The 21034-nt window shown below is 36.4% G+C and overlaps 1 protein-coding gene and 1 long non-coding RNA gene across 25 annotated transcripts in view; one reads left to right on the top strand and one right to left on the bottom strand.

Annotated features, from left to right (window-relative positions):
* The window catches only part of TBCK (TBC1 domain containing kinase), a 275085-nt gene that overhangs the window by 17206 nt on the left and 236845 nt on the right, over positions 1–21034 (top strand). For all 22 annotated transcript variants that reach the window (XR_001741353.3, XR_007057984.1, XR_007057982.1 and 19 more), the window contains exon 3: positions 4312–4384. Coding sequence is in view for 14 of the 22 variants with exons in the window: in NM_001163436.4 (NP_001156908.2) it covers positions 4312–4384 (73 nt within the window). In the remaining 8 variants the exon portion in view is untranslated. The remainder of the gene's footprint in view (positions 1–4311; positions 4385–21034) is intronic.
* Positions 1932–19873, bottom strand: LOC124900750 (uncharacterized). 3 transcript variants are annotated; one of them, XR_007058217.1, is made up of 3 exons: positions 19811–19873; positions 13416–13597; positions 1932–3388 (listed from the first exon to the last, which is right to left on the bottom strand). It is a non-coding gene; the product is annotated as an uncharacterized LOC124900750 (long non-coding RNA). The 3 variants fall into 3 exon arrangements; XR_007058218.1 differs by lacking the exon at positions 19811–19873 and adding an exon at positions 13055–13170 and having other exon boundaries at positions 3331–3388; positions 13416–13508; XR_007058219.1 differs by lacking the exon at positions 19811–19873 and adding an exon at positions 13055–13133 and having other exon boundaries at positions 3331–3388; positions 13416–13500.

Here is a 21034-nt window from a genome sequence, read left to right as displayed (position 1 = left end):
CCTGAAAAATTTTAGTTGTGCCAGATACTTTGGAAATCTCTTATAGATATGAAGAATTATGAATATCCAATTTAAAATGGTTAATTAATGGAATATGCACATTTTAATAAATTATTTTGTTTTTGTTTTACATGAAAGTCAGTGCTACTGAGTTATACTGAGTTTATAACGTGGGCATGTAATTTTCTACACAGGACAGGGCTCTGTTCAGTGACTGTGGTCATATGAGATTCTTCATTTCTAATGGCCACATCATGCCTTTGCTAAAGTTAATTCATCTAACAGTTATCTTTATATTACATGCCTATATGTTGTAGGTGACATTCTAGACACCTGTGATGCAGTACACCTGTGTGCACTAGGCTCCTGTGATGTACTACTGTGATGCACCTGTGTGCAACTACTGATGCACTGCTAGGCACCTGTGATGAGACCCACCTCATTCCTGCCATCATAAAATATATTATCTGATAGGAAAAAAGATATCACAGTAGGCCCCCCTTTTCCTCAGGGGATATGTTCCAAGAAGGCCCCCAGCACCCCCAGTGGATGTCTAAAACTGAGGATTGTACCGAATCTGATTCTTATCAGTCAGAACGTGTTTCTTCTGTTTATGTCTTCTACTCACAAATTTAATGCCTTTTCCATCTTAACTAGACACTTCTCTTGCAATGTGGTCATAATTTTGTAGTTTGAGGCGTGAGAGCAAAACTGGTATGATTTTCTTTTTTCTTCACAATTTCACGAATAGAAAATTTCTTACCATGTATCTTAACAACTGGTTTTTTTTCTTTCCTTATCAAGTCGAGAACTTTCACCTTTTCACTTGAAGGAAGCACTTTTCGTCTTCTTTTTTTTGTTGTTGTTTTTGAGACAGTCTTGCTCTGTTGCCCAGGCTGGAGTGCAGTGGCAGGATCTCGGCTCACTACAAGCTCTGCCTCCCGGGTTCATGCCATTCTCCTGCCTCAGCCATCGAGTAGCTGGGACTACAGGCACCTGCCACCACGCCTGGCTAATTTTTTTTTTTTTTTCATATTTTTAGTAGAGACAAGGTTTCACTGTGTTAGCCAGGGTGGTCTCCTGACCTCGTGATCCGCCTGCCTCCCAAAGTGCTGGGATTACAGGCGTGAGCTACCGTGCCCGGCCACGTCTTCTTTTTGGCATATATTAATTGCTGGTGAGAGATTTCACTGTGCTACTCAGAATGGCATGCAATTTAAAACTTAGGAATTTTTTATTTCTAGAATATTCCATTTAAAATGTTTGGAAACTGCAGAAAGTAAAACCATGGATAAGGTGGAGTTACTGATGATGCTGGCTGGACCAAAATAAGAATGCATACAAATTATTAGAGTTGAAACAAGTGCTACAAAACAAAATTAAAATGTAGAATAGAGTATGTTGTAGGACAGCAAATCGATGTTGGGGGGATGAGAGAAGTGTCCCTTGAGGAAGTCACATTTAACTGAGCCCTGAATAATGAGTAATAATAAAAGCTAACAATCAGCTATTGCTTGTTATGTGCCACACACTATTCTAGGCCTTTATTATATATTAACTCATTTCAACCTCACAACAACCCTGTGAGGCAGGTGGCTATTCTTCTCTTCATCTTACAGAAAAAATCTGGCATAGAGAGGTTAGAAAATTTCCCTGAGGTCACATAGTTAATTAGTAGCAAAACTGGGATTTGGATCCCAGACAAAATAGTCTATACTCTTAACCACTATGTGGGAAAGATCATTTCAGGCAATAAGAACCCATGTGTAAGTGTCCTAAGGCAGGAGGCCAGAAGGAAGATCAGTGTGATGGAAGTTGGTAAACTAAGATAAAATAATATAGATGAAGCTAGAGAGGGAGTTTCATATTCAGACTTCTTATGATTTTATCAGTTGGGCTTTAGTGTGAAAATATGTTGGAAAGAAATAGGAATTAATGTGAGAAGATCAGTTAAAAGATTGTTGTAGTTATCTAATGAGATGATGCTGGCTGGGCCCAGATTGTGGCAGATGGAGCAAACTATATAGATTCTAGAAATGTTTGAGAAGTAAAAATAACAGGACTCTGTTTATTTGGATTTGAGAAGGGGAGATTACTGTTTAGTTGCTAGCTAGAGCAGTTGACTGGATAGTGATATCATTTACTGAAACAGTATTAAAGGGGACAGACTTTAACAGTAAATTATAAGTTGAAGTTTGGTTGAGTTTCAGGTGACTTTTATATTAAAGCCTATAATATAGGCTATAGAAGCCTGCAGTTCAGAAGAGAGTTTTGGGCTTGCAATAAAATCTCAGAGTTTTTCAGCCTTGGGAATAGATGAGAAAACAGTAAAAAAGACCCAGAATCAAAGGTGGAGGAACTGGTAGCATTTCAATTTGGGTAGAAGAGGTAAAGATTTACAGAGGATACTGAGGGGAGGGAGCCAGATAAATGTAAGGAAAATGGACAAAACGTGGTAAGATGAAAAGCAAAGGAATGCAGCTTCTTCTTTTGGTTTTCTGATAATGTTGCCTGCTTTTTTCTTCTGGAATTTCACTGTTGTACTAAATTGCTTGGAGCTTACCTTTGCATACGCTTTTCTTTGTTAAGTAAGTAACTTGACCTTTTATTGCATGGTTTCCTTTTCTTTTTCTTTTTTTCTCATTAAGTGTTCTTTTAAAGTTAATTTTCTTTAAATTCCTGTTAAATATTCCTGCTCACCTCTCTCTCTAGCTTCATCATTTGCTATTTCATTTTATTCCTTTTCCTCTACAATTGGAATCTTTTATCTGAAAATGATAATATTCACTTATAGCATTTTTAATTTTTGTGTTTCAGATCATTCTGTATAATCCCATTTCACTAGACAGAGTAAACTTAGATAAGATCCAAGATAATACTTTGCTCCTGCACTTGACATGTCTGCCTGAACACAATTGTCCATCTCTACTTCCCCATTCAAGACCATGCCTTAATCCAATCATTACTGAACTATTTTATATACTAGATTTCTTACTCTGAACTTCCTCTTTCCTATCTTCTTCTGTCTCTTTTTTCTACCTTGGCTACTTTTTCATTTTCACCAAACCTTCATTTTACAGTTATCATTATTCGCAGTTTCTTTGCACCTTTACCTTATCTAGTCTCAGTCTTTGTGTTTTGTGTTAAACTTATTCTTTATTTTACTTAGAATCTGTTTTGCATAGATACTGACAACACTCCAACTTCTTTTGAACCAAACTCCTCAAATAACCTTGTCAAATCCCCAAAAGCTTGTAAAGCCAGTTGTACTTTTCTTTTATTCCTCTTAGATTCATTATCAAGCATCATGTTAGTGACTTGGAATAATGGATGAGGCAAAAAAAAGTATAGGCTGGCCCTTAGAACTGTGCCATCTTGATCAGTTGATCTGTTGGAAAATAAAAATGACATCATTAATGTTGATCATGTCTACCACTGTTTTATAATATTTAATCTCAACTGTTGTTCAGTTGACCCTTGAACAACATGGGTTTGGACTGCACACATCCACTTAAATATGCATTTTTTTCCCAATGAATTTATATTGGAAAATTCTTTGGAGATTTTTGACAATTTGAAAAAACTCATAGATGAACCATGTAGCCTAGAAATATAGGAAAAAATAAGAAAAAAAGGTATGTCATGAATCCATAAAATAAATGTAGATACTGTTCTGTTTATGTGTTGTCAATAAGGCTTCAAGTCAAGAGTAGGCAAATTAGTAGTTAAGTTTTGGGACAGTCAAAAGTTATAGGTGATTTTTGACCATTTAGGGGGTTGGCACCTTTAAGAACCCCCTGCGTTGTTCAAGGGTTAACAATAATTCTAGGTTGAATTTCTTTCTCTATAGTTATGATTCAGATCATTTCTACTTTTTTTCAAGTTTCTGAATGCAATTTCAAAGGTCTGTGTTTAAAACCAGAGTGTCAAGCAATCTGTACCTAGCTCCTTTTCCCTTCTTTCAAAATTCTTTATATATTCATCTAATCTTTTACTTCTTTCTTTCAATGTGTGTCAGAAGAAGGGTGAGTTATTTTTTTCCCCAAGGACAGTCTTTCCACCTATTTTTCCTGACGTATGTAAGAAAAACTCTAGAGGAAGAAAAATACAAGAGAAAAAAATAGTTATTGTTTTATTAGATGTTTATTATCCTATATACTTGGTAATAATGTAGTTAATATAGAGTTTGAAAGGCTCTTTTAAAATATTGTTATGGGTGTTATATATTAATATCATCAGTGGAGAGTATTATTTTGTTTTTAACATGTTGTATTGATAAAATATAACATGGGTTTGCTTTGTTTTTCTCAGAACGACTAGTGGTCGTGGCTGAACATTGTGAACGTAGTCTGGAAGACTTGCTTCGAGAAAGGAAACCTGTGAGGTACTGTATAGTATCAGAACAATTAAATGAAAAGCAGAACTTGGCAAACAAAAAGGCATTTTGTTTAAACTGCAGGGGTTTGGTTTCTTTTGTTACTTGTTTAATGATAAAGGTAGGTGCAAATTTTCACTTGAGAAAATTTAATTTACAGATTACATATGAATTCAACATTAACATAGTCCAGTGTTCATCTTTTGTGAGGTAGGCATTCTCTGAAATATTTCACAAAAAATTCTTCAAAAGGGGATATATGAAAATTTGAAACCTTCTTAGTACTAAGCATTTCACTAGCTGAGATTAAGATTATTTTCCTGGCCAGGCGTGGTGGCTCACGCCTGTAATGCCAGCACTTTGGGAGGCCGAGGCGGGCGGATCACAAGGTCAGGAGATCGAGACCATCCTGGCTAACACGGTGAAACCCTGTCTCTACTAAAAATACAAAAAATTAGCTGGACGTGGTGGTGGGCACCTGTAGTCCCAGCTACTCAGGAGGCTGAGAAAGGAGAATGGCGTGAACCCAGGAGGCGGAGCTTACGGTGAGCCGAGATTGCACCACCGCACTCCTGCCTGGGTGACAGAGCGAGACTCCATGTCAAAAAAAAAAAAAAGATTATTTTCCTGTATTTTTAGTATAAGAGTGGGGCTTCACTATGTTGGCCAGGCTGGTCTCAAACTCCTGGCCTTGTGATCCACCCGCCTCACCCTCCCAAAGTGGTGGGATTACAGGCTTGAGCCACCACAGTGGGCATGGTGGTGCGTGCCTGTAATCCCAGCTACCCAGGATGCTGAGGCAGGAGAATTGCTTGAACCCGCGGGGCGGAGGTTGTGGTGAGCCGCGATGCGCCACTGCACTCCAGCCTGGGCAAAAGAGCGCGACTCCATCTCAAAAAAAAAAAAGATTATTTTCCTGAAAGGATCACATTGTAACTTCAAATAGGATACTTGTATTCCTAGGGACACAGTGAACTGTGTTAAATAAAGGTCACATTAAAGAGTAGGGAGAAATATTAATCATAGCTTGGATAGAATTTAATGATACAGTTTAAATGCAATTATTTCAAAGACTCAATAAATTTACTCTCTTGGCAAGGAAAGTATGTGGTCTAAACTTTTATTAGAAATATACTATTAAATGAACTTCTTCACAGATTTCCCGAAGTGACCTTAAAATTATCAAAAATCTTTCTTAATGTATAAATCAAGTTGTATTAAACCAATAAAACATCTTGCCACGAGTGTTTATAGATTTATAATTATCCATCCTAGTTTTGAAAAATATTGTTACTCTGACTGGTTAATAATTTTCCATTACCACAATATTCTAGATGAAAAATCTTTTTCAAGGGAAGAAAAGCATTTATCTTAATAAATGGTAGTAATTTGATAGAAGCAAAACAAATAAATTGAATAAAAGTGCTATTATTGCTCCTTTAAATGATTTGGTTTTGGGTAGCCTCTAGAATGAAAAATGCAGATATCATGTATATACCAGCAGTCCCCAAACTTTTTGGCACCAGGGACTAGTTTTGTGGAAGACAGGTTTTCCATGGATGGAGGGTGGAGGGATGATTTTGGGATGATACAAGCGCATTACATTTACTGTGTACTTTATTTCTATTTTTATTATATTGTAATATATAATGAAGTAATTATATAACTCACCATAATGTAGAGTCAGTGGGATCCCTGAGCTTGCTTTCCTGCAACTAGAAGGTTCTATGTGGGGATGATGGGAGACAGTGACACCCAAAGTCTGTTGCTTATGTTCATTCTGCTCTGTAATCTCGTTTTGGTTGCTGTCACTGCAGAAAACCCTGCTTCACAAAGATAGGATGTTGGAAATGGAAGCAGGCTGAAAAGGAGTGATTTTGTGCCAATCTTGGGATATTCTGTCTTGACTTTAATCTAGAATGTATGGAGATTTGATATTGTCTAGTTGATCCTCTTCTAGCACAGATGAAGTCAATTCACCTGGTTTATTCACAAATGGGTTGCGGATCTATTCCTTCCCATTCAGGGGTCCTTTGTGGTTGGGAAGTAATGCTTAAACTCTTTTGAAAGCTGAGATAGGTGATCTGCACCAGTTGGGAGAAAGAAGGCCCTGGCTCAGCCTCTTTCAAAATCTCTGCTAATGTTTGAAACATGTCAGAAATCCCAGTGTTCACTTGCCACCCCCATAATTCCAGTTTGGCTTTGAATGCAGCCACTTTATCTGCGAACTTGAACAGAGTTGTTCTCTCCTGAAGTGACAGATTGAGTTTGTTGAGCAGGTTGAATATGTCACATAAGGAAGCAAGCTTTGTGACCTATTCTGTGTCACTGAAATGTGCTGCCAGTGGTGACTATTTTTCTAAAAGAAATCTCTGGAACAGCTCTCATAACTCAAAACTCTGGCCAGTGATCCACCTTTAGAAAGCCACCTACTTCTGTGTTTAAGAGAAGACGTGTATGCTCTGTGTCCATCTCCTCACAGAGCTGCATGAACAGATATGAGTTAAGGGCATGTACTTTTTTTTTTTTTTTTGAGATGGAGTCTTGCTCTGTCGCCCAGGCTGGAGTGCAGTGGCGTGATCTTGGCTCACTGCAAGCTCCTCCTCCCGGGTTCATGCCATTCTCCTGCCTCAGCCTTTTGAGTAGCTGGGACTACAGGCGCCCACCACCATGCCTTGCTAATTTTTTTATTTTTAATAGAGACAGGGTTTCACCGTGTTAGCCAGGATGATCTCGATCTCCTGACCTCATGATCCACGCACCTCAGCCTCCCAAAGTGCTGGGATTACAAGTGTCAGCCACCGCGCCCAGCCAAGGGCATATACTTTAATGAGGTTGATAATTTTAATCATATCCTGCAAAACGTTGTTAAGTTCAGGTGACATTTTTCAGGTAGCCGGCATTTCTGTATGGATGGCACAGTGCATAGACTCACATTTAGAAGCAACCTTTTTGACCTGAGAAGTGAAACCAGAAAGCCGTCCAGTCATGGTGGCCGCTGTGTCTGCATATACCGATGTAAAGTGACCAATTCAGTTTCTCTGATATTTAATCATTCAAAGACTTGAATAGTTCTGCAGCTTTGGTGTTTATTAGCAACAAAAGTGCACATAAATATCCTCATGCATATCCTCCTGAAAAATATATTGCACAAAAGCAAGCATTGTTGCATTGTTGTCAACATCGGTCAACTCATCAGTCTGAATTGTGTACCATGGTGACTCATTGATTCTAGCAATTGTGCCTCAATATCCTCTGTTATTTCATCAGTTTGTCTAGTTATGGTGCTAGTCGAAAGAGGAACACGTGCTACCTTTTGATCGGCATCCTCTCCTAAAATTTCATGACAGATGTCTTTAGCAGCAGGCAGGATCAAATCTTCACCGATAGTAAAGGGCTTCTTAGCTTTAGCTATGTAGTTAGTCGCTAAGAATGATGCTCTTAGTGTCAACACGTTTGATGAAGTGGTGGCTTTCAGTAATTACTTCAGTTCTTCGTGTTCATGTTTTTTTCTTTTGAAAAACTGCGAAGACTTGTCTTTTAATCAGTCTGCTTGGTCTCCATGTGACAAAGCAGTTTTGAAGGTTTTATGGCTTCATTGGATAGCTGGTCGCCACATAGCATACAAAGCATACTTGGAGAATGTGAATCATCTGTTACAATGAACCTATAATTTAAGTAGGACTGTTGGTATTTTCTTTTAAATGAAGCTTTCTTTTTGTTGGCAGTCTTAGAGTCTTCTGCTGTCTCATCATGGGGTCTTTCCCCCTTTTTAAAGAAGGTCTCCAGTGATGTTTGGTTTTTACTCATTGTGACTAGGGGTTAGCTTGTAGGCTTATCAAAACTGTGACCAAGACAAGTGTGCAGTGTGGGAAGGAGGTGCAGATGGAAGAGGTAAATAAAATAATAGGCAGGCCACGTGCAGACTAAAATAAATGTTGCATTTTGACTTAAAGCCTGCCACCAGATGCAGCTGTACACTTGAAGTACATCAACTCACTTGCCACTCAAAAGCCTACCACCAGATACAGCTTAATTGTCACTTGCCTCTCACTGATAGGGTTTTGATGAGTCTGCAAGTAATTGATTTATTATGGTCTCTGTGCAGTCAAACCTCTCTATTAATGTTAATCTGTATATGCAGCCACTCCCCAGCGCTAGCATCACTGCCTCAGCTCCACCTCAGATGATCAGGCGTTAGATTCTTATAAGGAGCCCGCAACCCTGATCACTCGCATGCATGGTTCACAGTAGGGTTCGTGCTCCTATGAGAATCAGTGCTGCTGCTGATCTGACAGGAGGCAGAGAGCTCAGGTGGTAATGTAGCGATGGGGAGCAACTGTAAATACAGATGGAGCTTTGCTGGCTTGCCTGCTGCACACCTCTTGCTGCGCAGTCCTAGGTACAGGGTCCAGGACTAGTCCATGGTGGGGGGGTTGGGAACCCCTGTTGTACACTATAGCCTTACATCCTTCCTTAGAAAAGTCTAATCTGACTATAGGTAAGAAAAATAACTTTTATATGTATTTAGAAATAGTTTAACCTTATTTAGTAAATGTGTTTTTATAGTTATAATTTTTGTAATGTCACTAATCTTTGATTTTTATTTAAAAGAATATATTATTCCGGCCGGGTGTGGTGGCTCATGCCTGTAATCCCAGCACTTTGGGAGGCCAAGGTGGGCGGATCACGAGGTCAGGAGATCGAGACCATCTGGCTAACATGGTGAAACCCTGTCTCTACTAAAAATACAAAAAATTAACCAGGCGTGGTGGCAGGCGCCTGTAGTCCCAGCTACCCAGGAGGCTGAGGCAGGAGAATGGCGTGAACCCGGGAGGCGGAGATTGCAGTGAGCCGAGATCACGCCACTGCACTCCAGCCTGGGCAACAGAGTGAAACTCCATCTCTAAATAAATAAATAAATAAAATAATATATTATTCCTTGCTCACTAGTTCAAATTTACAGTCTCCTGCTGCTAAAAAGCAATTTTCTTTAAAAGCTAGTTGACATTAAAATTGAAAACCAATTATGCCCACAACTTTAGGTAAGAAAAAATATTTTAGTTGAGCCTGGGTTAAATTTGTGTAAAGATTTACAATGCAATATGTATGATGAAAATATGCATTTACAATGCAATATGTGTGATGCAATATGCCCTAACTAGTTAGGCATCCTTGGACAAGTCTCTTAATCATTTTCCTTATCTGTAAAACAAGGAGTTTTACTGATTGAGAGATCATTGTAGCACAAGTTATTCTTAACTTAATGTTTTATTTAATATGCATCATATCTGATAATACATCAATCGTCTTTTTTTTTTTCTTTTTTTTTTTTGAGACAGAGTCTCGCTCTGTCACCCAGGCTGGAGTGCAGTGGCATGATCTCGGCTCACTGCAACCTCTGCCTCCCGGGTTCAAGTGATTCTTCTGTCTCAGCCTCCTGAGCAGCTGGGACTACAGGCATGCCCACCATGCCTGGGTAATTTTTGTATTTTTAGTAGAGATGGGGTTTCACCATATTGGCCAGGCTGGTCTCGAACTCCTGACCTCATGATCTGCCCGCCTCAGCCTCTCAAAGTGCTGGGATTACAGGCATGAGCCACCGCGCCTGGCTGATCAATTGTCTTCATAAATATAATTTGTTATATTTTTATAGACTAATATGTTAACCTACTATTGCTCTTTGTTTAAATGGTAGATTTCTTGACAGAAGAACCTATGGCAAGTCTACATTTAAAATTTCAATGCTATAAAAAAGGCTAAATTATTAATAGAAACATCTATTTTATGATCCAGCAATTCCAGTCCTAGTTATAAGGCCTCCTTAAATTTTGTACTGTAGTACTTCATTTGCCTCACTCTAGTCCCAGCTCTGTCTAGGTATTTATCCAAGAGAACAGAAAAATACATGTCCACCTATGCAAAAAGATTTGCACTAGAATATTCCCAGAAACATTCTTCATTATAGCTCTAAACTGGGTAGAACTCAAATGTCCATGGACAGGAGAATGCATAAACATGGTACAGATTGATAATTCTTTATCCATAATGTTTGGGACCAGAAGTGTTTCGGATTTGGGATTTGTTTTTCCCAGATTTTGGAGTATTTGCATTTACATAGTGAGCTATGTTGTAGATGGGACTTAAGTGTAAACACGAACTTCATTTATGTTTGAATGATAGCTTATACACATAGCCTGGGTGTAATTTTATGTAATACTTTAAATAATTTTGTGCATGAAGCAAAGTTTACACTAAATACTTATGTGTGGAATTTTCTACTTGTGGTATCATATTGTTGCCCAAAAAATTTTGGATTTTGGAACATTTTGGATTGCAGATTTTCAGATTAGGGATGCTCAACCTGTTAATCAACAATGAAAAAGAAAGAGCTACTGGTACCCACAACATGTGGATTAACCTTATAAATATTACGCTGAGCAAAAGAAGCCAGACATAGAAGATTATCGGTATTTATCTTCGGTGATAGAAAAACAGTGCTTTATTCTGTTAGAGAGTAAGGGGTAATTCAAGAACTGATTCAAAATGGCCTTGAGGGAACTTTTTAAGGGGATGAACATTTTTGTATCTTGATCAGATATTACCTATATGGTGTATGTGTGTCATAACTAAATGAAATATGCACTGAAAATGTATAATATATGCATTTTACCTATGTAAATTATACCTTAATTTAATTTTTTTTTTTGAGACGGAGTCTCGCTTTGTCGCCCCGGCTGGAGTGCGGTGGTACGATCTCAGCTCACTGCAAGCTTCACCTCCCAGGTTCAAGTGATTCTCCTGTCTCAGCCTCCTGAGTAGCTGGGACTACAGGCATACACCGCCATGCCTGGCTAATTTTTTGTATTTTAGTACAGACAGGGTTGCACCGTGTTGCCCAGGCTGGTCGCGAACTCCTGAGCTCAGGCAGTCTGCCTGCCTCGGCCTCCCAGAGTTCTGGGATTGCATACCTTAATTTTTTTTTTTTTTTTTTTTAAGAAAGGGTTGTTGAGTTATTCACTTGGCTTGAGTTCTCAATCCCTCATAGAGAAACAGTATTGTGTTGTTAATGAAGATGTTTGAGCCACTGACTTTTTTAATTTTTTGGTTTTTAGAAGAAAGAGTATGAATTAGTTATTGCTTAACAAGTTACCTCAACACTTTGTGGCTTAAAACAACAATAAAAATTTATTAACTCATATAATTCCTTTGGATCAGAACATAGGAATAGCATAACTAGATGGTTCTAGCTCAAGGTCTCACAAGATTTCAGTCAAGATAACAGCTGGACCTCCAGTCATCTGTTATAAAAGCTTTTCTGGAGTTGGGTGATCTGTTTCTAAGATGGTTTACTTATAAAGAAGGTGCTAGTTGTTGACAAGAGGCTTAATTCTTTTCTACATTGAGGGCCTTTCCACAGGCCTCTTGACATGCTCAAAGCATGGTGGTTGGCTTCTCTCAGAGTGAACAATCTAAGGAAAGAAAACAAGGTGGAAGCTACAGTGGCTTTGGTAACCTAGTGTCAACAAACACACACTGTTATTCCTGCAATGCAATATCCTGTTAGTTTACACAGGTCAGCCATTAACTGTATTCTGTGTTGGAGAGGATTGCTCAAGAATGCACATGTGAATTTCATGAGTCATGGCTCATTGGGGGCCATCCTGGAGGCTGACTACCACAAATGTCTTAGAGACCATACAAATACTTTTGAAAAAACACTCCTACAAAACAGGAGTGACATGCTAAATCAATATTAATGCTAACTGAAAAATATCTGGAATTCTTAAAATTATTCATATTTGTTTAAAGTATTTGGGGTAGAAAAAAGAAAGGATTATACACTAAGAATAGGGGGTAGAGTATTAAGGGAATATCCAGAAGTCCCACAGGTGAAATAGGGTCTTTATGGACATAGCTATGATCAGAATTGCTATACATCCTGAAAATTGATGTTATCCATGGTCTTGTGCTCCCAAAAGTTCCAGAACACCCCGAAGTTCCAGAGGACCCCATAAGCCACAAAGAGAGCAGTCCTCTGGTCATCAGTATGGTAGTCTCTTATCTCCACATTTCCCCCTCTGCCTGTATATGGTCCTTCTTTTACTTGGTAAAGGAACTGAGGCGAAAGAAGTTGGTGATTCAAAAGATAAATTTCCGTTTTCATTGTTTTACCTCAACTCTATTCCACCCCCACCCCTCCTGCCTTTTTGTTTTTTTGAGACAGGTTCTCGCTTTGTCACCCAGGCTGCTGGAGTGCAGTAGTGCGATCACTGCTTACTGTGATCGCTGCTTACTGTAGCCTTGACCTCGCTTACTGTGATCGCTGCTTACTGTAGCCTTGACCTCCTGGGCTCAAGCGATCCTTCCACCTCAACCACCCTAGTACCTGGGACCACAGGTGTGCATCACCATACATGGCTATTTTTTTATTTTTTGTATATACAGGGGTCTCATTATGTTGCCTAGGCTGGTGTTGAACTCCTAGGCCCGAGTGATCTTCTTGCCTTAGCCTCCCAGGTGTTGGGATTACAGGCACAGGCATGAGCCACCATCCCCCAACCTTTTTTAAAAATGTTTTTGAACTTTGAATTGTATTATATAAGGATACAATCAATATTGCTTTGCCAGTATGATTAAATCATTAGCTCATGAAAAGTTTTGCATTTCTGTGCTTACCATTTTTTATCTTTGTTTGAAAGACGACAAATCTTGTGGCAATGAACATCAGTGGTTTCTTCAATGATTTTGCTTTTGTCTTCATGAGGATAAAATAGTGTAGATGGAAGCACATTCTTTGAGGATGTATATTAACATGAGTAGGATTAAATGCAAAATTTACATGATCTTTTATGCCAGTTACATTTTCTTTTTTCTTTTAAATAGAACATATAGTAGCCTTAACAGGTCTTTCCATTTTTTCCATTGAGATGTATTTAAGCATTTGTGTAAATAAAGTACTATTTTTAAATTATTCTGATAATAGACTAAAAGTCAGTGTTTTCTTTGTACATTTTGGAATATAACATTCAGTACTTACTGCCTTTTAGTAGGAATGATCCTTTTAGGTTCAGTTCCAAGTTGTTATCTGATCCATCCATCTAAATTAATTTTGCTGAGAACTATTTGACTTTTCCACATATTTGGATTACATTAGTCTCCAGTAACAGAGCAGGTATATGTGTAGAGTTGATGTACTGCAATTTTAATCAATTTTATAACCTGTTTATAGAAAGTGAGAAGATGTTCTTAAGGTTTATAAATTAGTTCTTTCCTTTACTACCAAAAGTAAGCACCTGCACCTGCAAGAAGGGCTGATGTAAACAGGAAACCTATTTAGATGGGGTTGCAACTTGACATTTGTGATTTTTACTTGTTCCTTTGTCTATAACTGTTGCAAAACCATAAGCTGCCAGTTGTCTGGTCGTAATTTGCAGTTGATTTTCTAAACATAAGCATCATTCAAAGCATATATCTTACTTGATATATATTTTGAAGAAAATTTTAAATATTTGGTAAGAAATTTAAATTTAAATTTTAAATTTTAAATCTTTGGTGGGACAGGGATCAGGGGAATGAAAACTAGGAATTTAGAGAAGAGTCTGTGTCAATTTGCTGACTTTTTTTCATGACCGATTTAATATTGAATGAAACAATATTGTACTGAAATGTCATAGTAGTAATTTGCTACTACTATGGGAATAATTACAATTTAAGCCTATCGTGAAGCTCCAGATCTCACTAGAAAATCAAACGTTCTCTCTTAGTATTAACGGCCGTAAAACCCTTTTGAGAATTTATATTATAAAAGGAGAACATAAGTTTGTTTTATGAGGTGTTATCAAGTTAGTATTTTATAGACTAATGTTATTTGTGTGGATAGTTGGCTAACCTGGTTTAAAGGAAAAAAAATATTCAACATTTTCTTTACAGTCCATTCAGGCTTTAATATAAGGAATTAATTTTGAGACAGCTGCTGTCTTTCCAGTGGCTTTTATGTTATCTGTGCCATAGTTCAATCTTGCCAGCATTTCTCTTCAGTTTAAGTTAAATGATCAAAATTATTTTTTGAAAATATAAAATTGTCAAATTAAATTCCTATAGTGATTAGGTTTCAAGAAAAAAGTACAGCATTTAGATTTGTTTGAAGTCATCTCACATTTAGTGCCTATTAATCTACCTAATGCTACCCTAAAGCAAGATTCAAGAGACTGAGAAGTGGAGAAATTTAGATCTCAACTCCTCTTTGAAATGCTTTCCAGAGAATATTTAAAAAACAGATATACCTTTATCACTGCTATCAAAGCAGGCATGAGGAAATTGTTTTTCTTTTAAGTCTAGGTGCTGTATGGGAAGTATTTCCCTTTTGTGTTAGAATTATTCAGAGCATGTACTTTTGCTTAACCTATGAAAGTATCAGCAAATGTAGCTCATGGACAGATATTCAGCAGAGTTTTGGCACTTGTAATAGAGTTTCTACATTGTGTTAAGTTTGCAGGTGAATGCAGGGTGGGCAGTAGAGCCATATTCCTTTAACAAAATGTAGTTTGTCACGTTTTTAGGGTTATGGTTTTGAAAATTTACCAGAATACCATTAGTATTGCAGAAGTTATACGTGAAGACTTTGATGGGAAGCAGACTATGTCTGCAGCTGTTTACTAGCCTGATGGAAAACATGATCTGACTTACTCAAATTAGTGAGTTTTATTTTCCCCTGTTAAAACATTGCCTACTCACTGAATGAGATACTCGAAAGAATTTGGACACATTCTGGAATGTGGTCCAGAGTTGAATAATGAGCTACAGGTTGTAGTAATCAGAAATAGATGTTAGATATTCTTATTTTATAATATAAACTGATAATGGATCTTGAGGCTTTCATATCTTTTTTACTTTTGAGGACCGTAGTTTCAAAATGCATTTGAAATTATGGTAGTGAAGTCATGTGAATTAGAGATTTATATAACTGATCTATAATTCTCTTCCTGTTTTACATGTTTTGTTTAAAGAAGGAAAATAATACCGAAAGATGCTCTACATTTAGACTTGTTATCTTGCAACAAACTTTTGCTTTCTGCCTCTCTTGTACCTTATATCTTACTAATTGCCAAGTGTTGTTAATACAAACTTGGCAATAGTTCTCACATATCTCTGTCTTATACATTCTTTAGTTTAAATCTTCACTAACAAACAGCTTGGCTATTGCATTGTAACGTTCTAACTGGTCTTCCTGGCTTCAGCCATACTTCAGTCCTCCCACTTTTTCTGCTATGTTAATATTTTTGAAGATCAGTCCATTCTCTGTTCAGAAACACTTGGAGGTTCTCCATTTCTTTTTTTTTTTCCCCCAGAGGAAAAGGCATCTTATTAGCATAGGATCTGACTTCAATCTAATTCTCTCATTAAATAACTCCAATTACTACTACTGCTTCTCTAAATATTACTCTCTAACTCTCTTATTATTTCCAATGTGCCTAAATTGTACAATTAGTTTTAATTATTCCTAATACACATTGAGGAGAGTGAATGCCAAAATTTTGAAATTTACCATAAAAACTGAAATGTCTTTTTGCTCAACCCTGTTATCTCCAATCTTTAGTGCAATGTACAGCACTTCTTCAAGTAATACATCTTACTGTTTCCCTTCGTACTCTTCTTCTCAACCAAAGCAAAAATTATATTTTCCTCCTCCAAATGCCTATATTATACTGTAACCCTCTAGTAGTAAGATATCTTTCCCCCTTCAGGCTTATAATTGTTAGTCTACAGTTATAGAATTAAGGAAGGAATTGTTTATCTTCTCTAGTTAACGTTTTTGACATACATACTGTAATTTATTTATTGTCTCCTAAAGTTGTAAGTATAAAAGTTTCCATTTAGTAAATATGTGGCAAATGGACTATTGAATGAATGAATTATACTTTTAGGTTAGTCATGGAGTTTGAATATTTCCCTATTATCTTTTTTTTTAATCATGTGCTACAATTTTATTTCTCAAACAAATGAATTTTGGTGAAAGTATGATGCAAATATGAATTTCTTTATGATATTCCTAGAAATGTTTTTTAAAAATAAAATGATATGGTTAGAGGAAATGAACTCTCAATTTCTTTTCTTGTGGCTCTGGGGAAGAATTCTTCTCTAAGCTGATAAAGGTTGTTGGCAGAATTTAGTTCCTCGCAATTAATTTTAGGACTGAGGTATCTGTTTTCTTGATTACTGTGACTGAGTGCTGCTGTCAGCTCCTAGAGGCCATCTACATTTCTTGTCATGTGTTTCTGTCTCCTGCTGCCCTGTGAAGAGATTCCCTCTGCCAAGATTGTATGTTTCCTGAGGCCTTTCCAGCCATGCAGAATTGTGAATCAATCTAACTTATTTTCTTTATAAATTACCCAGTCTTGGTATTTGTAGCAATGTGAGAACAGACTAATAAAGGGGGTCAATAAAGAAATGAAGAAGGAAATTGAAAAATTTCTTGAAACAATAATGGAATGGATAATGAAAACACAATATACCAAAACCTGTGGAATACAGCCAAAGCAGTATTAAAAGGGAAGTTAACAGCTATAATCATCTACATCAATAAAGTTAAAAAAAATCAAAGAATATAATGATGCTTATTCAAAAACTAGAAAAGCAAGAGCAAACCAATCCCAAAATTAGTAGAAGAAAAAAAATAATAAAGATCACAGCAGAAATAAATGAAATTGAAACAAATGAAATAATAGAAAATATTAGTGAAATGAAAAGTTTGTTTTGTTAAAAAAGATAAAGAAGATTTACAAACCTTTAGATAGACTAAGAAAAAAAAGAGAAGACTCAACTAATAAAATCAGAGATGAGAAAGGAGACATCACAACTGAAACCATAGAAACTCAAAGGATCATTAGAGACTTCTATGAACAACTCTATGCCAATAAATTGGAAAATCTAGAAGAAATGGATAAATTGCTAGACACATGCAACCTACCAAGATTGAACCATGAAAAAAATCCAAAACCTGAACAGACCTATAACCAGTAATGAGATGGAAGCTGTAATAAAAAGTCTCCCAGCAAAGAAATGCCCTGGGCTAGAGGACTTTATAGCTGAATTCCGCCAAACTTTTCCAGAAAAGTTAGTGCCAATTGTACTCAAACTGTTCTGAAAAATAAAGGAGGAAGGAATTCTTCTAAGCTCATTCTACGAGGCCAATATTACCCTGATACCCAAACCAGAAAAAGACACATCAAAGAAAGAAAACTACAGGCCAATATCCCTGAAAATCATTGATGCAAAACTCCCCCACAGAATACTAGCAAACAATACATTAGAAAGATCATTCGTCATGATCAAGTGAGCTTTATCCCAGGGATGCAAGGATGGTTCAACATACGCAAATCAATTAACATGATGCATAATATCAACAGAATGAAGGACAAAAACCATATGATCCTTTCAATTCATGCTGAAAAAGCCTTTGATAAAATTCCACAACCCTTCATGGTGAAAAACCCTTAACAAACTAGGGATATAAGCAACATAATAAAAGCCATGTATGACAGGCCCACAGCTATTAATAGCATTATACTGAAGGGGGAAAAACTGAAAGCCTTTTTACTAAGATCTGGAACATGGCAAGGATACCCACTTTCACTACTGTTATTCAACATAGTACCAGAAGTCCTAGCTAGAACAATTAGATAAGAGAAAGAAATCAAGGGCATGCAAATTGGAAAGGAAAAAGTTGAATTATCCTTGTTAACAGATAATATGATCTTATATTTGGAGAAAACTAAAGACTACACCAAAAAAAAAAATGATTAGAAGTGATAAATGAATTCAGTAAAGTTGCATGATACAAAATCAAAAGATAAAAATCAGTAACATTTCTATATGCCAACAGCAAACAAGCTGAAAAAGAAATCAAGAAAATAATTCCATTTATAATAGCTACAAATAAAATAAAATACCTAGGAATTAATCATGAAGTGAAAGATCTCTACAATGAAAACTATAAAACACTGATGAAATAAAGAGGATACAAAAATGGAAATATATTTCATGTTTATGGATGGGACTAATCAATATTGTTAAAATGTTCATACTACCCAAAGCAATCTACAGATTCAATGCATTCTCTATCAAAATACCAATGACATTCTTTACAGAAATAGAAAAAACAATCCTAAAACTTATATGGAACCACAAAAGATCCAGAATAGCAACAGCTGTCATGAGCAAAAAGAATGAAACTGGAGGATTCAAATTTACTGACTTCAAATTATACTACAGAGCAACGAAAACAGCTTGGTATTTGCATAAAAATAGACACATATGCTGATGGAACACAATATAGAAACCAGAAACAAATCCTTACATTTACAATGAATTCATTTTTACCAAAGGCGTCAAGAGCATAAATTGAGGACAGGAAAGTCTTTTCAGTAAATGGTGCTGTGAAACTGGATTTCTGTATGCAGAAGAATGAAACTAGACCTCTGTCTCTCAACATAAACAAAAATTCAAATCAAAATGGATTAAAGACTTAAATCTGACCTCAAGCTATGAAACTACTACAAGGAGACATTGATGAAAACTCTCTACTAGGACATCAGTCTGGGCAAAGATTTCCTGTGTAATACCCCACAAGCATAGGCAACCAAAACAGAACTGGACAAATGGCATCACATCAAGTTAAAAAGCTTCTGCACAGCAAAGGAAACAATTTAAAAAGTGAAGAGACACTCACAGATTGGGAATAAATATTTGTAAACTGTCTGACAAGGGGCTAATAACTAGATTATATAAGGAGCTCAAATAACTTTATAGGAAAAAATCTAATATTCCAATAAAAATGGGCAAAAGATTTGAGTAGACACTTCTCACAAGAAGACATACACATGGCACACAGGCTTATGAAAAGGGGCTGAACATCATTTATCATCAGAGAAATGCAAATCAAAACTACACTAAGATATCATCTCACTCCAGTTAAAATGGCTTTAATCCAAAAGACAGACAAGAATAAATGTTGGCAAGGGTGTGGAGAAAAGGAAACCCTTTTACGCTATTGGTGGAATGTAAATTCGTATAACTGCTATGGAGAACAGTTTGGAGGTTCCTCAACAAAACTAAAAATAAGGCTATCATATGATCCAGCAGTCCCACTGCTAGGTATATACCCAAAAGAAAGGAAATCAGTATATCAAAAAGGTATCTTCACTCCCATATTTGTTGCAGCACTGTTCACAATAGCCAAGATTTGGAAGCAACCTAACTGTCCATTAACAGATGAATGGGTAAAGAAAATATGGTACATATACACAATGGAGTACTATTCAGCCATAAGAAAGAATTAGAGCCTGTCATTTGCAACCACATAGAATAAACTGAAGGTCATTTTGTTAAATGATATAAGCCAGGGACAGAAAGACAAACTTTACATGTTCTCACCTGTTTATTGGAACTCATGGAGATAGAGAGGATGGTTACCAGAGGCTGGAAAGGGTAGTGGGGCTGTGGGGATGAAATAGGGGTAGTCAATCAGTACAAAAACATAATTAGAATGAATAAGATCTGGTATTTAATAGCACAACATTGTGACTATAGTCAACAATAATTTATTGTACATCTTAAAATTACTGAAATAGTATAATTGGATTGTTTCTAATACCAATAAAGGATAAATGCTTGAGGTAATGGATAACCCATTTATCCTGATATGATTATTACACATTGTATGCCTTTATCAGAATATATCATGTACCACATAAATATTTGTATCTATTGTATATGCACAAAAATTAAAATTAAAAAAATTTTAAAAAATCATCTGTGTGTAACCTCAGTGATGAATTTTTACAAGGTTCATTTACTGACTATATTTTCTGTATTCAATCAGTTCCTTCAGTTAGCGAGGAAACTTCAGTAAATTGACTCAGGTAGGAGATTAGTAATTAGGAGTTGCCCTGACTTCAAAGGAACATTTTGAATTTTATTTTGTGGTATTGTCTATATCCATAAAAGGTATAGAAAAGGTCTATATCCATTAAATTAACTAGTCTAATTTCCTGTTGGGAATTATCTGAAGAGCAGAAACTACTGAGTTAATAAATAATAAAGTGTGAGGGTAGAAGGATTACAACTAAATAAGCACTTGGAATTAGGCTACAAGAGACTCAGAGGTTTTTTTTGTTGTTTCATTTTATTTTGTCTTTTATCTTTTCTTCTTAGCTATATTTTATTTTTTGGGTTATTGCAATAGAGTTTACATTATGCATCCTTAAAATTTATAGTGTTTTATGAGTTGATTATACCCATTCACATATAAGATAGGAATCTTATAATGACATACTTCTATTTACTCCTCTCATCTTTTGGGTAGTTTTGTTATACATTTTATATTTACTTTTACATATATTATACATTTCACCATGTATCTGTACTATTTTTGGCATTAAAGTTTCTTTAAAGACTTTGAGAAATGAAGAAAAAATTCTTTTCCATTTAATTATGTATTTGCCATTTCATGAACTCTTTTTTTTTTTTTTTTTTTTTTTTTTGAGACAGAGTTTCACTCTGTTGCCCAGGATGGAGTGCAGTGGCACGATCTGGGCTCACTGCAACCTCTGCCTCCTGGGTTCAAGCAATTCTTGTGCCTCAGCCTCCCGAATAGCT

Source organism: Homo sapiens, chromosome 4 (assembly GCF_000001405.40).
Source record: "Homo sapiens chromosome 4, GRCh38.p14 Primary Assembly".
NCBI lineage: Eukaryota > Metazoa > Chordata > Mammalia > Primates > Hominidae > Homo > Homo sapiens.
Note: the sequence above shows the minus strand (reverse complement) of the source record. Positions and strands in the feature narration are given on the sequence as shown.